Source organism: Homo sapiens, chromosome 4, assembly GCF_000001405.40.
Source record: "Homo sapiens chromosome 4, GRCh38.p14 Primary Assembly".
NCBI lineage: Eukaryota > Metazoa > Chordata > Mammalia > Primates > Hominidae > Homo > Homo sapiens.
In genome coordinates this window covers 137,630,037-137,646,671 of record NC_000004.12, presented here as the reverse complement: position 1 = coordinate 137,646,671, position 16,635 = coordinate 137,630,037, and the positions used below count along the sequence as shown (strand labels likewise).

The following is a 16,635-nucleotide window of genomic DNA, read 5'->3' as shown; positions in this document are numbered from 1 at the left end:
GAGATTATAAAAGGGCATGGGTCATTGTGGATCCTTTTAGAATTCTGCCTACTGTAACTGTTAAAAGAGAGATTTTACTTTACTGGGGTTTTCTGTCTCACACTGAAGGACACACCCTTTCTAGGGTTTTCTTCCCCCCATTGGCTTTATTAAATCATTAGGATAATAAATTTCTGAATGGGAGATTATAAGAAATATTACTTTTCTCCAAAGCGGAGTGATAATTTAGATTGGTATAATTTAATTCCAGAATTTCAGATTACATTATTCCAGAACTAGAAGTTGCTGTAAAATGCACCTTGCTATTTTCCATTATTAAAAAAAAAAGAAACTGAGAACCAGAATATGGATTGTACATTGTCATAGCAAAAATGTGGACATCTCCTTGGGTAAAACTGGGAAGTATTTACTTATTATAAAAATAAGGAAAAAATTCAAGTGGTTACAAAAATTAAATGGCCTTGGATTTTAGACTCACTGCTTTAGGATACATAAAGTTATCACTTGACTGCTCTGTCCTGATGAAGACTTCGGAATATAGGTTGACTATTCCTTATCGGATATGTTGGGACAATAATTATTTTCAATTTTGGAATTTTTGGATTTTGGAATATTTGCATATATATAATGGGATATCTTGGGGATGAGGCCCAAGTTTAAATACAAAACTCACTTATGTCTCATATATATATTATGTAAATAGTGAGGATATAATTTTATACAATATTTTAAATAATTTTGAGCATGAGACAATGTTTTGAGCATGAAACAAAGATATTTGTTAAAACAAATAATTTTAATAAAATTGTACTGATTTTGAGCATGTGTATATTGAATCATCATAAGACAAAGGTATCACTATCTCAGCCCCCCATGGGGACAATCTGTGATTCTTTAGCATCACCATCATTCCTGACTCTGAATTTATATGTTACTCATAAGCAGTCATTTTTGTACACTTACACACACATAAGTAAGTACTTAACAGTAAAATATATGATATACCATTAATACAGTGAAAAAATAATGTGTTCAGAGTAAGTAAGCAGCACAGTCATATCACCAGATGCCTATATCAGCTGTTAAACAACAGCAGCAACAAACAACAGCAGGATTTCAACCTCCACCTATGATCCTGTGTTTTGATTAAAAGGTTAGTGTACACTGTATGTTTTCAGGTGAGAAGAAACATCAGAAGCAGTTGAGAGACCAGGACGTGGGTCCTCAAAGGATGAACAGAAGTTCTTTTGGATAACATTTTAAAATGTTTCCTCCAGAGTTATCTGCCTCATTAACAATGGTTTGAGTCTCAAGAGTCTCTCTTCGATTTTACAAACATGATTTGTTGCTCTGCTATAAATGCATGCTGCTCTAGTCCTTCAATAAACCCACAACATGTTTTCACCATTTTGCCTGTAGACACTTTTTCTGCAGTGTTAACAACGTCACCATTATCATCACTATTATCACAATCACCTTGATTCAAAGCCATTTCACCATCAGTCAATGAATGAATAACTGGAACCTCATGCCTCATGATCCGTGTTAGAAACTTGAATACACACTTCTTTCAGCTTACTAATAGACTCTAAAGCAGGGGTGTCCAATCTTTTGGCTTCCCTGGACCACATTGGAAGACCAATTGTCTTGGGCCACGCATAATATACACTAACAATAATGATAGCTGATGAGCTAAAAAAAATTGCAGAAAAACTCATAATGTTTTAAGAAAGTTTATAAATTTGTGTTGGGCTGCATTCAAAGCCATCCTGGGCCTGTGGGCTGCAGATTGCACAAGCATGCTCTACAGGTGTATTTTTTATACATATAAGGAGGTCAGACATCATTTTTTTTTCTCACTTACCATACAAAATCCTTCAAAGTCATGACCTTGTTTATCGTTATCACTGAACATAGTCACAAGCCAGAGATTGTGCCAGGCATGCACAACTGTCTTTATTCACTCTGTTCCAAGTATTGGCAACAGCATAGATGGCATCTTTCTTGCTAAACTCCTTTTGAAAACCTTCCACACGCTCACCCTGTTCACTGATGCTAGCCTGCTGTTCAAGAAAGTGTTTTTATATTTGCTCTTCATTGATCTAAGGACACCCTAGTCACATGGATGAATTATGAAGTCACATTTGGGAGAAAGTACGTGGCATAACCATTATTTTTTATGAGAATTTCAGTTGTAGGATGAGCAGAACAGCTGCTAAGGAATAACAAACTCTTTCAGTTATCATCCAGTCCAGCTTTTCTGCATAAGCATGAGCCACTGGTAAAAATGTTCATGAAACCATTTAGAAAGATGTCCCTGGTGAGTCATGCCTTTTTGCTAGCATAACAATGGACTGGTAAAATATTTACTCCTTGAAAACAATGAGAATTAAAACTTTTTCCTATTACAGCAAATTTACAGTAATACTAATACATGGGTGAGCCATTAACATATTCTAGCACAGTTATTTGGCTGCTGCCATTTTTAATTACTTTACGGGCTCTTTTATCAACTATAGTCCGTGTCTTTCTGGAACAATAATCCCAAGACAGCAATATTTTATCAGCCAAATAGCCTTGTTCTGGCATCAGATTTTCATCAGCGCAACCTTGGCAAACTTGTCAGAATTTATCAGTGGCTTTGTGATCAACAGATGTTTTATTGTCACAAATCTTTAAAAATATAATGCTGCGTCTTTTCTTAAATATCTGCAACCAGCCTGTTGAATGTTCATACTTCCCTTCAATTTTCAGTTGATTGTGATAGATCCTTGCTCTTTTCATGATCAGCATACCATCATGTCATATGTTCACCGTTTTGCTGATGGATCCACTCTTTTAATACATGATTGAGATGTTCATTTTTATTTTTCTGCAGTGCTTTTCTATTTTTCATTAACTTCTGTTCATCACTTTTAACATAGAACATCAATAGTTTATCCTTTGGTTTCTTTGGGTCATATATGGTGGACATTCCAACACCATACTGTTCTATAAGATGTTTCACACTTACACTGCTGTCCAGTGTTTTTCCAGCAGCTTGACTTTCTGTACTATAAATAAACATGAATACTTCCTTTTTTATATCACTGTTATCAACAGGGGTATCTGCAAAACTTTTTAATGTTTTCAGCAATATCTTTACAATATAGAGATGAAAGTAATCCGAAAACAAAAACAAACAAAAAACAGTGAGTAATGCATGTAGGTCTTGGCCCCATGTGAGGTGTCATGGGGAACCTGCCATTGGGGCATCTGGCCTACACAAATGTCATTTTATTACCCTTTGTGGGTGTGCTTCTATGGGGAAAACTGGGCATGCATGGAAAAGATATATGACAGCTGAAGGGGGCTGAGAGGATCTTTTTTTTTCTTGGGGATGCTGAATTAAATGTGTGTTTTGTGCCTGAATTTGGACTGTGATCTGTCACATGAGGTTAGGTGTAGAATTTTCCACTTGTGAAGTCATTTTGGCACTCAAAAAGTTTCAGATTTTGGGATATGTTGGATTTCTGATTTTCAGATTAGGGATACTCTACCTGTACCAAGCAGTAAGGCTTTTAATAAGACCCTTGATCAAATGATCAATCTCTCCTCTGCTATCCAGGTCCTATTAAATACCTAGCAGAAAGGAATCATTGTTATAGGATGATATCTTAAAGAGACATATTACCTATTTATTCAATTATTTTAGACATACAACTGTCTAGAAAGTTTTATCAGCTCTTTAGATGACCACAAAATTACTTTTACTTAATTACTTTCACCTATCCTCTGTCTTACCAGGTTTAGGTCTTTCTGTTTCCACAGATCAATGTAAGAACTAGCCCTTTAGGTCCTATTTCTGTTGTTGTTGTTGTTTTGAGAAATAGAAAGAATTCTGCATATTACTTATTACTTAGTGCCTCTTGAATAATGCTTACCCCGACTAACTTTTTTTTTCAAATTTAGAAGTTGGCAAACACGCACACACATGCGCGTGCACACACACACACACACCCCTCACACCCCAAGTTCCACAGGAGAACCGGTATATTTTATTTCTCATAATAATGAGTTATGATAAACAGCAATTTTTCATCTTTGCCTTGGCTGCCAGAATAGTTAGAACTATCATTATCTTCCTAGGATGAGCCGCTGCCCTGATTTGCCTGGGATTGTTGGGTTCCTTGGGGCTTGAGACTCATTAGTAAAACCAGACAGTTTCAGGCTAATTGGGATGGTTGTTTACTTCTTCTTATAAGAGGAATATATGTTTGTCTTTGAAATTTAAAAATTATACAAAAATAGAAAAAAAAAACGTAAATAAATAACCTAAGTGGGAAATACTATTTGACTGATTGGATTAAGGAACCAGAACTGAGGGTAAGAGAGAATGACTAAAGGAAAGAATTTGAAAGTCATTGATGTGGATGGGGCAGCTGAAGAACAGATGGTCCCTTTATGTGCCATGTAGAGAAAAGTGGGAGACATAGAACAAGTGGTAGGGGAATAAAAGAAAATAGCTTAGCGAATAGGAAAGAAAACTTCTATTTTCATGATTGGCTAAAACTATTCTATTTATAGGAAAGAAAACTTCTATTTTCATGATTGGCTAAAACTCGTCTATTTCTTTTTAATTTTTTATCAATATTTTGTATTTCTCGATAATTTTTTTAATTTTTAAAATTTATTTTCTTTTTTTAATGGAGAACCTCCACTTTTTAAACAGTGTTAAAAATTACTCAGTTATGTAGGTGCTATGTTAGGAGAACAAATCTACACTAAGATATTAATCTACAAAGTTTTGACCTGAGTATTGTCAGTAAAGTGACAAAGCTCTGAGTAGAGATGTTTTGGTTGGAAATGGTGCAGAAAGAATTCCAGCCACTGCTACATGTTGCGAAGTACTCCCTCGTGCCCCTGCATCACCACTTTCTCAGCCTGTATTAAGCCAACATATTGTTTTTCTGTCCAAGTAATTTTCAGTAACACCCACAGAATCCCCAGCGGTGATTGCATCTAACATAACACCTGGCAAAAATTCAACTTAATGTGAGCAAAATGGCATCATAGAACACATGCTTCTGAATAAAACTCTTGCTTCAAATTCAGAAAAGGAGGAAAGGAAATAAAGAAGTCCATGGTTATAAAATTAAGATGTCTTTAGCCACTAATTCTAAGACAAAATAAATAACGACAACATGCATATTTTATAACATGGTTTCAGCATCACTAGGAAAAACAAAATTATACAATTTTACCCAGAGAGCATTGTGATAGCAGTGTGATAGCAGCAGATTAATAATTAAAACCAAGTCTCTTTAAAATGAGCTTGTTCTATCAAATTCAAGAAACATTTAAGAAGTCTGTCTTAGGTTTCAGGAACTGTGCTAACTTCTTTCACTTACATTATTATTTTTAATCAGATGAATTTCACCAAACATAAACGTCTTATAAGTTTTAAATTTCCCTTTGTATCATTACATTATTTATACACTGTAAGTTCACCATTCCACTTAGTTTATCATTCAATGACTGTATCATTTTTTGACAAAGCAGAGATATGAGAGAAAACGGAACTAAAAGTTGCCAGAACAGTTATACCATTTTGCTCAGTTTCTGATTTAATAAATTGCTCTGTCACATGGAAAATTGGTCACCTAAATGTAGATTTTTCATGCACAAGACTTGATGCTCACAAATCCCATTACTACAGAATAGGATCAATGAGGCCTCATTTGAAAATGTGCCCCCTATGGTCTGAGCTGAATCTTGTCATGTGCATTGTCAAATGAATAGTTCCACTGTTGGCTCCATCTCCACAAGCTGACAGCTCAGCCTTGGCTCTGGTATAATGTGTTTTTTTTGTTTTGTTTTTGTTTTAGGTAGAGTTCTTAATCCCATTAAAAGCTATTATAATTCCCTGGCCAATCAGACAGCTTGCTCTTGGTGTGGCTATTCTTTCTGAGTACTAATGCTTTATGAGCAATAGATTTCCATGACATTGATGAGATGACATTATCCTGGCAACATAGTTCCTTTTGTCCAACTGTTGATGCTGCCTTCTTCACCATTTATAAGTCTGGAACACATAGGAAAGTGGTCAAAGAGTTGGAAATAAGAAAACTTTTTCTCCACCCATTATTATTTACGATGTTGTTCTATTTATCCTGTACTTTGTGAAGGCTACCCTTAGTACCAACCCACTTTTCTATTTCTTATTTTAGAATAGAAAAAAAAACACTTTAAAAGAGTAAAATCTGCACTCATATTACGCTGAAGTTTCATGTCCAGTATAATGATTAAGAAAATGGTCTATGACGTTAGATGACTCTGGTTTTGAAACCTGACTCTTTCTTTCATTACCTATATGACTTTAGAAAGCCGCTCAAACTTTCCAAATAGGAGTTACACATCTGCACTGTATAAATAATAATAAATATCTACATCCAACATGTTTCAAGAAGTCAAGGAAATAATGCAAGATGACTTAATATGCCTGTCACATATCAAGTGTGGTCAAATGATTGCCATTATTTTTATTAGAAGGCATAGAAAAGTAATTTAGTTTTTTATGCATCCACAAAATTATTATTAATAGTTTTATTCATTATTAATTAAATTAATTATTAATTAGATTATTATTAATAGTGGTTACCTTCAATAAAGGTAATATTAATACCTTTATTGAAGGTATGAATTGTTATTTTATGACAATTTCTATTAAATTGTTCTATGGTAAAGTGCATTTTTTAAAGAAAGGTCACACAAAACACTTGCGAAGAAAATGTAGAATACTATATTAATAAAAATATTTTAATTTTAGCAAATTTATTCTTATAACATTTACTGAATTTGTTTCCATGGATTTTCCTAAAATCTTGTAATAACTGAAACTTTAAAACATTATTATTCCTGAAGCAAACTATGTAATGACCTATTATTCAGAGATACTTATTTACCCTAGGCACAAATAGATACATACCTAAGGGTCCTCTATAAAAATAACGTATGGGGAGATAAGGAAGTAATTCCTCCCAGAAACTTCCCAGGGGAACTCAAATTATATCCATCAAGAATGAAATAGAAGTCTTAGAAGCACAGAAAACACCTGCAAGATTATGAAACATGGGCCACTATTTTTTTCTATGACAATGTAAAAATCACACATTTTTCAGAGTTCTAACATCACATATGAAAGTAATTGATACTGAGAACCAGTTCTGGCACACTAGATCTGTGGTAGCTTAAGACGCAGATTGATGTATGTATCTTAGAAAGCACTCCGATTCTCACAACAGCACCAGTGTTTTCAAAGAGCTCATGTCCACACCCTTTAAAGCCAAACAAAATAGCACAACATAGAAATCTCATGGCCACTTGTATCTAAAAAAAATAAGAGGAGACATGAATATTGCATAATACAGAGACACCTAGTCAGCCTCCTTCTGGCTTATTTCTGAGAGGGAGACACTGACTAGGACCATGGTGTATAGGTGGTTATGCGACATTTGCATAGGTTTGCCATATAGGATGCAGAAAAGCAGTCAAACAAGAACACCCACTTTCATTCTATAGTTTGTGGTTTGAAGAATAGCCACCACACCACCCTCAACACCACACACATACCTAGTACCAGAGGTTGTTTGTTCGTTTATTTCTTCCTAGGCCAGGAGGAACTTTGAGCCAATTATTTTCTGTTTCTGCAAATAGTAAATTCTTTGGGAAGCCTCATTACCAAATATATCCAAAGATCCCAAAGCCTTACACAAATGAAAGCATGGATTACGTTCAATGTCACCATCTGACTTCCCTCCAGCTCTTATTATCTGTCTCTCAAGTAGAGGGAGAAGATAGCTAGATTTGGGTCCCAGGCAATAACATGGAAGGTGAGCACAAATTATATTAGATAGATGTTGGAATCAGTGAGAGGCATGAAAAGAGGTATGGAGGAGTGAGGAGGTTTCAGAAAAGAGAAAAATGAAAAATGAAGAGGAAATGCAGAACTTAGGTTTTGAACATTTCTAAAATAAGCAAAGTGACCTGAACTACGTGGGTTCACCAGTAAATTGGCATGATCAGGCCGGGCACAGTGGTTCACGCCTATAATCCCAGCACTTTGGGATGCCAAGGTGGGCAGATCACCTGAGATCAGGAGTTCGATACCAGCCTGGCCCACATAGAGAAACCCCATCTCTACTAAAAATACAAAATTAGCCAGGCGTGGTGGTGCATGCCTGTAATCTCTTTAAGTCTTACAAACTCTGTATGAATGCAATTGCCTAAAGATTCCTCAACCCACTGGCAATTGAGTTTTATAAGACCCCACAGGCTATACTCACTCAGCTAATAAATTATTCAACTTTCTGGCCTAGCTTCAGACAATTTTTTTAGTCTTTTTTCTCCAGTTGGAGATTATGCTGGCTGTAGCATATTGCATTACTGACTCCAGTGCTTCACCTGTTGTGGTATGCCTTCTCTTTACTATATGATTCTGTAGTTCCTTCTTCTAGAATCTGAATATAGTATATTTTGTTTCCACTGACTTTGGGTTTGGCCATGTGGCTTACTTTGGCAAATGGAATATGGCAGAAATGATGGTGTGCCAACTCTGGGTCTATGCCTCAGAAGGCTTTGCAACTTTCAAGTTGCTTTCCTAATCCTCTGCCATAGCCTTGAGAGGAACTTGCCTTGGATATCCAGCTTGTCCAAGGGGGATGACTGACATGGAGAAGAGCTGTGTCAGCCTAGGTTAACCATCCCCAAGATATCCCACAGATGCATGAGTTAAAAAATTTTTATTTTGTGTTCTATTGATAACTTGTGGGGTGTATGTTATGCAGGATTATCATAGCAATAATTAACTGGTACACTGAGCCTCCAGAATCAGTCATCTCTTTTGGAGCCATGGGAGTGAGGGCAGCAACAAACCCTTCAGGCTACCTTCCTCTTGGTTGCTTTATTTATCTGTCTCTCTATTCTCTCTACATTAACATAGACACTTCCCTAATCAGTCTACAGATTCCCTTTCTTCAGCTTTGGTTTAAAAAATATTCACTTGAAAAAATAGTGGAGAAAATACATAGTCCATTTTAAGGTAAACAATAAAAAAAACTTTATATTGTCTCCATGTACAATCTCTTACAACTGAACTAATCTGTAATTTAAATCCAGTTTACGATTATTCAAATATGTAGCCACTAAAACAAAACAAAACAAAAGAGACTTACAACTCGCTGTCACATTAGCAATTATACCACTTGGCATGATACATATTCGGATGGGTTAAGAGTGACTAAATTGCACCCTTTTTTGTGTGTGTGTGTGTGTGTGTGAGACACAGTCTTGCTCTGTTGCCCAGGCTGGAGTGCAGTGATGCGATCTCAGCTCACTGCAACCTCCACCTCCCGGGTTTAAGCGATTTTCCTGCCTCAGCCTCCTGAGTAGCCAGGATTACAGGCATGTGCCACCATGCCCGGCTAATTTTTGTATTTTTAGTAGAGATGGGGTTTCACCATATTGGTCAGTCTGTTCTCGAACTCCTGACCTTGTGATCTGCCCTCCCTGGCCTCCCAAAGTGCTGGGATTACAGGTGTGAGCCACTGCATCCAGCCTAAATTGCACTCTTGGATGAATCTAGAGGTATCTTTGGAACTAGGCAGAAGCAGGTTACTCTAGCCAGGCACCAACTAACCTTGTAAGCTTGGGAAGGCTAAGTAACTTTTCCAAACATCTTTTTTTGCCAAAACGTAGATAATATCTATTTTCTCAGTTTACTATGAGTACTAAATGAGAAAGATGTATTTGAGATCATTTGACAAGTTATAGGAATCAGTAAATGGCAGCTGAAATGGAATCAGTAAATTCCAACCAGATGTGTATCCTGTAGTGTCTCTACCCTTATTATTATCCCCTTATGTTTGTTTAAAAAAGTTACATTGTATTTTATTTAGTAGTACTAGTACTAAAAAGCACAATTTACCATAAATTTTAAAGAATTTATGATGATGTCAGATGGAACTGTGTGAAACTAAGGTGAAGAAGCCTAAGGCACACATAATCCCCCCAACTCCTTCTACAGGTCCATGCTCAAGGGATAAACCCATTACATTTTACTTTGATTTTGGATTCAACTGAACCTGAAAATTCAAAACAACACTCACAGAAGCCTGCCAAGTTTATTCTTCAAAATTTTGATTGAGGATCTTATATTTTTCATCTAAAATAGAGCCTGGCTGAGAACCTGATGCTCCTTTTCTTGGCCATCATCTCTTGAAAAGCTCATGATCTTCAATTGGCCTTTGGACCCAAAGACATACTTTTATTTTCCCATGAAAATCCAAATTGGTAACATTATCTTGGATACCCACTGTAGGCAAATAAATTGTGCTAACTTGATTGTATTAAAAAATAAATATTAGAGTATTTAAAAATATATTAGGATAATATTGCTTGTTCTGATAGTTTAAAGATATTTTAAAATCTATGTTTCTTTCTTTCTCTTAGAGTTTTTCCCAATAAGCTGCTAAAAACATGAATAACTGTATTTCAACAATTTTCTCTTCTATATAATCCCCTGTTAGATGTTTTCAGCTACTAAAGACATTTTCAAAGATTAACCTTTGGAAAATGTCTTTTTAGACAGGAATAAACAAAAGGAAATGAAAACTATGTGAAATTTGCCAGAGAAACTTCTTCTAATGTACACTAATGAGTATGCAGGTCATATGGAAAATTAAACACCAAAATCTAAGTTTTCAGGGCAAGAGAATTTGTGCATACAAATCCTATTACCCGTTAATGGGATTTGTGTGGATCCCCAGTGACCTATTTAGAAAATTTACCCCCTGCTGTTCAAGATGAATATATCATGTGAACTAAACCTGAAAACAGAGTCCTACTGTTGGCTTCATCCCCAATCTGTCAAGCAAGCCCTCTATGATTTCCACAGGATTCTGGCAACAATTTCAGTATTTATATCTGACTGACAGTGCAAAATGACATCTGTATTTTCTCATTGAAGTTATCTGAAATTTGTTTCAAATATATTTTTTCAGTCTTCTTCCTTCCCTCCTCCTCTTCCTCCTTTTTTTCTTTTTCCTCTCCCTCTCCTTCTCTTTCTCTTCCTTCTCTTTTTCCTCCCGTTTGCCTTCCTCCTTTTCTTGTTTTTGAATATTGAAAGGAAACAAAGTAAGCATTAATATTCTGTTCCCCTGGATTTTGTTAAAGAGATGGAGGTTTATGTTACAACTGAAGAAGATATAGCGGATGTGGGTTCAGAATCCTCTCTGTGATATATACACACAAAATTCAGAGAATTCTTTGTAAGTCAGGCGTATCAGACATTGAGAAACCAAATCTCTGAGGCAACAAAAAATGTAATGTTTGCTGTGAGTGACTCTGCCTTCCTTCTTGAGCAACACTCATTTTCCCAACACCTATTCTCTCTGGGACAAAGTACTCTCATCTGTCCTCTCTCTGGACACAGAATCACACTCCAGATGGCATTGCTCCATCCTTCAAAATGGCATGTTTCTGCTTGCCAGCCAACGAAAACATCCATTTACTTAAAGTATAAATTTCAGCTTCTTTTTTGGAACATACAATCTGAACCAAACAAAACAAAATCGAACTAATACATGATTGAATTATCTCTCTTTAAATATCTGAATTCTAGATATTTTTATAACTAAAGAATTAAACTGCTTGATAATGGTGAAATACCAGATAATATCACAATAAATGTGGGGTAAGGAAAGACTTTGGGCAAGGAATTTTTGATATCACTCAGATCACTCAGATTGTTAAATTGAGATCTTTCTAACTTTTTGAAGTGGGCATTTCATGCCGTAAATTTCACTCTTAGCATTGCCTTAGCTGTGTCCCAGAGATTCTAGCATGTTGTATCTCTGTCCTCATTAGTTGCAAAGAACTTCTTTATTTCGACTTTAATTTTATTATTTACCCAAAAGTCATGCAGGAGGTGGGGAGAGGTGGCCCACTCCTGTAATCCCAGCACTTTGGGAGGCTGAGGCAGGTGGATCACTTGAGTCCAGTAGTTCGAGACCAGCCTGGACAACATAGTGAAACCCTGTCTCTGCTAAAACTATAAAAATTAGCTGGGCACAGTGGTACATACCTGTCATCACAGCTACTTGGGAGGCTGAGGCAGGAGAATTGCTTGAATCTGGAGGTGGAGGTTGCAGTGAGCCGAGATCGTGCCACTGCATTCCAACCTGGGTGACAGAGGGAGATTCTGTCTCAGAGGGGGGAGAAAGTCATTCATATGCAGGTTAATTTAATTTTCATGAAATCTTATGGTTTTGATCAATTTTCTTAGGCTTAATTTCTAATTTTATTGTGTGATGTTCCAAAAGAGTGGTTCTTATAACATCGGTTCTTTTGCATTTGCTGACGATTATTTTATGTCCAATTATTTGGTCAATTTTAGCATATGTGCCATGTGGTAATGAGAAGAATGTATATTCTGTCGTTTTGGGGTGAAAAGTTCTGTAGAGACCTATCAGGTCCATTTGATCCAGTTCTGAGTTCAGGTCCTTAATATCTTTGTTAATTTTCTGCCTCAATGATCTAGTACTTTCAGTGGGGTGTTAAATGAAGTCTCCCACTATTATTGTGTGGTTATGTAAGTCTCTTCCTATGTTTCTAAGGCCTTGCTTTATGAATCTGGGTGCTCTTGTTTTGGAGATATATATATATATATATATATATATATATATATATATATATATATAGTTAGTTAGTTAGTTAGTTCTTGTTAAATCGAGTCCTTTACCATTATGTAATATCCTTCTTTGTCTTTTTTATCTTTGTTGGTTTAATGTCTGTTTTGTCTGAAATTAGAATAGCAGTGTATTAGTCAGGGTTCTCCAGAGTGACATAACTAGTAGGATATATGTATATGTGAAAGGCAGTTTATTAAGGAGAATGGACTCACACAATCACAAGGTGAAGTCCCACAATAGGCTGTCTGCAAGCTGAGGAGCAAGGAAGCCAGTAGTGGCTCAGTCTGAGTCCCAAAGCTTCAAAAGTAGGGAAGGTGTCAGTGCAGCCTTCAGTCTGTGGCTGAAGGCACGAAAGCCCATGGCAAACCACTGCTGTAAGTCCAAGGGTCCAAAGGCTGAAGAACCTGGAGCCTGATGTTCAAGGGCAGGAAGTATCCAGCATGGGAGAAAGATGAAAACTGGAAGACCCAGCAAACTAGCTTATTCCCACCTTCTTCCACCTGCTTTTTCTAGTTGTGCTGGCAACTGATTAGATGGTGCCCACCCACACTGAGGATGGATCTTCCTCTCCCAGTCCACTGACTTAAATGTTAATCTCTTCTGGCAACATCCTCACAGACGCACCCAGAAACAATACTTTGCATCCTTCAATACAATCAAGTTGACACTTAATATTAACCATCACAGCAGCCTCTGCTTTTTTCTGTTTTCCATTTGCTTGGTACATTATTCTTCATCCCTTTACTTATGGGTGTCATTGCATGTAAGATGGGTCTTTTGAAGAAAGTATGCTGTTGGGTGTTGCTTCTTTATCCAATTTGCCACTCTGTGCCTTTTAATTAAGGCATTTTGCCTGTTTAGTCTCAAGTTAGTATTGATATATGTGGATTTGTTCCTGTCATCATGTCGTTAGCAGGTTATATGCAGACTTGTTTGTGTGATTGCTTTATAATGTCACTGGTCTGTGTGCTTAAGTGTGTTTTTCTAGTGGCCAGTAATGGTCTTTCTTTTCCATGTTTAGCACTCCTTTCAGGATCTCTTGTAAGGCAGGTTGGGTGTTAACAATATCCATTAGAATTTGCTTGTCTGAGAAGAATCTTATTTTTCCTTCACTTAGTTGGGCTGGATATGAAATTATTGGTTGAAAATTCTTTTCTTTCTTTTATTTTCATTGATGTCCTTGGAGGTTTGATTATGATGTAGCGTGGGTTCAGTCAACTAGCTTCACTTCTAGTAGATTTTTGGAGGGCCAAGGCTCAGCATAGCCTCCCTGGGCTGTGTGTTTTAACTCTGGGGGGCTGGTATGGGGCCCCCGGCTTTATTCTCTGGCCCCTCAAGTTTGGAAACCTACTGGACTGGAGGGGCCAAGGTGTTCCTGGACCTCTGGCCACAGCATTTCAAAGGGTGGTGCCAGTCAAACTGCTTTATTGGGCAGTGGCAGCAGGATCTATGCTCATTGGCTTGTGCCAGCAGCAGCAGCAGCATGGGGGTGCATGCTCCCCAGCTGGCGCAGGACACTAGCAGGCCTGAGCTACTGGCTTTCAAGCAGGCACTTGCAGTGGTGGCAGTGATGGTATGGTTGGGGGGCAGGCAGGGCCACTGATGTCCATGTATACATTCACCCCCACAGCAGTGTTGGTGCAGGAATGGGCACTGCTGGGCACAGTGCTGGCAATTTGTTCATGTTTGTGCCAGTGGTGGTGGTGGTGCAGGACAGGTAGTATGGCTACTTGTATCCCTGTGGATGTTCATGGCAGTGGCAGTGGCAGCACAGAGCAGGGGGGCAATGCTGCTGTTGTTCATGCATGTGTTTGTGTCAGCAATGACTGTGTAGCAGTGGCACCCACACACTGGCAGGGGAGGAGACAAGTTCTGCCTATGTATATGCAAGCCAGCAAAGCGATGGGTGAGAGTGGTCATGGGCAAGCATATGCCAACAAAGTGACATGGAGGAGGAAGTGGTGGGTGGAGGGAAGATCTAGGTGGGCTGGTGCCTGTCAGTGGGGTCCACTGTGCTGGAGCTCTCTGATAGTAAGGCACCATCTGCCAATGTAGCAGCTATGATGCAGGCTCACCAGGGGCACCCTGACTGGGCATCTGAGGCTGCACTACAAGCAGTCATGGCCAGGCTGGGGCCCCAGGAGAGGCTAGCAGACAAAAAGGCACTCAGGTTGGACTGGCCCGATTTCACTAGCAAGATCCAAGATTGCCCTTCTCTGTTCAGGTCTGACACTTCCGGCCAGCCTTGGAGGATGGGCATCCTTGGCCATGCTCTCCTGCAGACATTTCCACACCAAACCCTCTGGGCTTCACACAGGCTGGAGTCCTACCACTACCACCTCTCAAAGCAGCTATCCCTGCCAGCTCTTGAGCATCTGTGGGGGCCGTGGGGTTTAATGATTCTAGGATTTCAGAAGCCTGTGGTGAGAACAGGTTGCTCCTTGCCTCCTCAACTCATCCCTTCCCCAGGAGTCACTGGGGGCCAGGAACAAGTCCCCATGTGTATAACCCTATGCAGGGCCCAGCTTTCTCACCCTTCAGCCCAGCATTTGTGACCTTCCTCTGTTCACTCTCAATGCCTTCCTTCTTAAGGTCTGTTTAGAGTGCACCAGTCTTCTTGGTGTCCTGCTCCCTTGGTGGTCCCATGACCCTCTGAACCATTAGATGTTCCTCCTAGCTGCATCTAGTTGGCTATCTTGCCTCCAACTCCTGATACATATGTCTCTGTGACCTCTTAGTTTCATTCCTTTAACTCTGAATGTACATAAGGAATCATTGGACTCAATTTCCATTTTTAAACTTTATTTTTTGAGCATTTTATAAAGATTGATATTTTTTGACTCTTATTTATGCTTAAAGATTTCCTGAGTTCAAAGGGAAAAAAGTTAGCAGAATAAAGCTTATTATGTTTTTAATTACTATATGGATTTGTCAATGCTTTTATTTTTAAAAAAGATATATTTTAACATATTAATAACCTATGTTTTTATATTCCTTTAAACATTTTGTTATTTCATAAACCTAAGAATTATTTTATCTATACTCTTCATTACTCATCAATTATTTCAGCAATTATGTTCAGCTGTGCTGAAAAACCTAAGATGATAAGAATTTTAAAAAAATGATGAAATCAACTCAAGGATGATTAATAAAGTGAAATAAATTGTTATCTTTTGGCTTATTAATATTTTGCCCAAAGTATTGTGTTATCTTTTAAAAAGGTATAAAATAAATTTGTCAATATTGTGTAGTCTGCTTTAGCCTTCACTAAACACAATAAAAATTCTGAAGTGTTGTTTTCTGCCTATTTTAGCCAAGTACACAGGAAGACAATTCACAATAATCAGATAAATTGGAAGATGAACACAAAGAAACACAGAATAGCACTGTGGATTACATGGTAATAAAATTGATCACAGAAGCAAAAGTCTTAGGCTGGGTTTTCAGATTGATGGTACTTTACAAGAATTTTCTTAAACTCAAAATTGATGACTAAGCAATATATTTCTGAGGCAAAAGATAATATGGTTTGCTCATCCAGTTAGTCAATCAACAGGAAAAAGGAGTTCATAATATACAAATTTTGAGAGGAATCTAGACCACCCCATTTTACAAAAATGTATGACTATAGTATTTTATATTTTACGATGTTTCGTGCCAAAATTTACTTGACACACACAATTTTGCTATAATTGAATTCTGATGAATATTGTAATAAAAATTAAATTAAATTTTTTATTTAAAAGTTTTGCAGATTACTTGTAAAAAGACTTAAAGTATTTTAAAAATTAAAGCATTCCCTAGGCCCAGATGGTAAATGGTTATGACTGTTTTCCTAGAAAATTGAGGGTTAAGGTGCATAGATTCTAAATGAGGGAGTTTATGTATTCTAAATGAAAACTTTCTG

The 16,635-nt window shown here is 37.4% G+C and overlaps 1 long non-coding RNA gene across 1 annotated transcript in view, besides 1 other annotated feature; it reads left to right on the top strand.

Annotated features, from left to right (window-relative positions):
• LOC101927414 (uncharacterized) overlaps positions 1-1,407 on the top strand; it is a 55,601-nt gene extending 54,194 nt beyond the window's left edge. The window contains exon 4 of the long non-coding RNA NR_187911.1: positions 1,179-1,407. This is a non-coding gene — a long non-coding RNA (uncharacterized LOC101927414). The remainder of the gene's footprint in view (positions 1-1,178) is intronic.
• Positions 14,305-14,805: an enhancer, noted in NCBI's record as "H3K27ac hESC enhancer chr4:138553021-138553521 (GRCh37/hg19 assembly coordinates)". NCBI's record gives its function as "activates a minimal SCP1, AML or CMV promoter by ChIP-STARR-seq in naive H9 embryonic stem cells {active_cell/tissue: H9 hESC(naive)}" and the evidence as "EXISTENCE:reporter gene assay evidence [ECO:0000049][PMID:30033119]".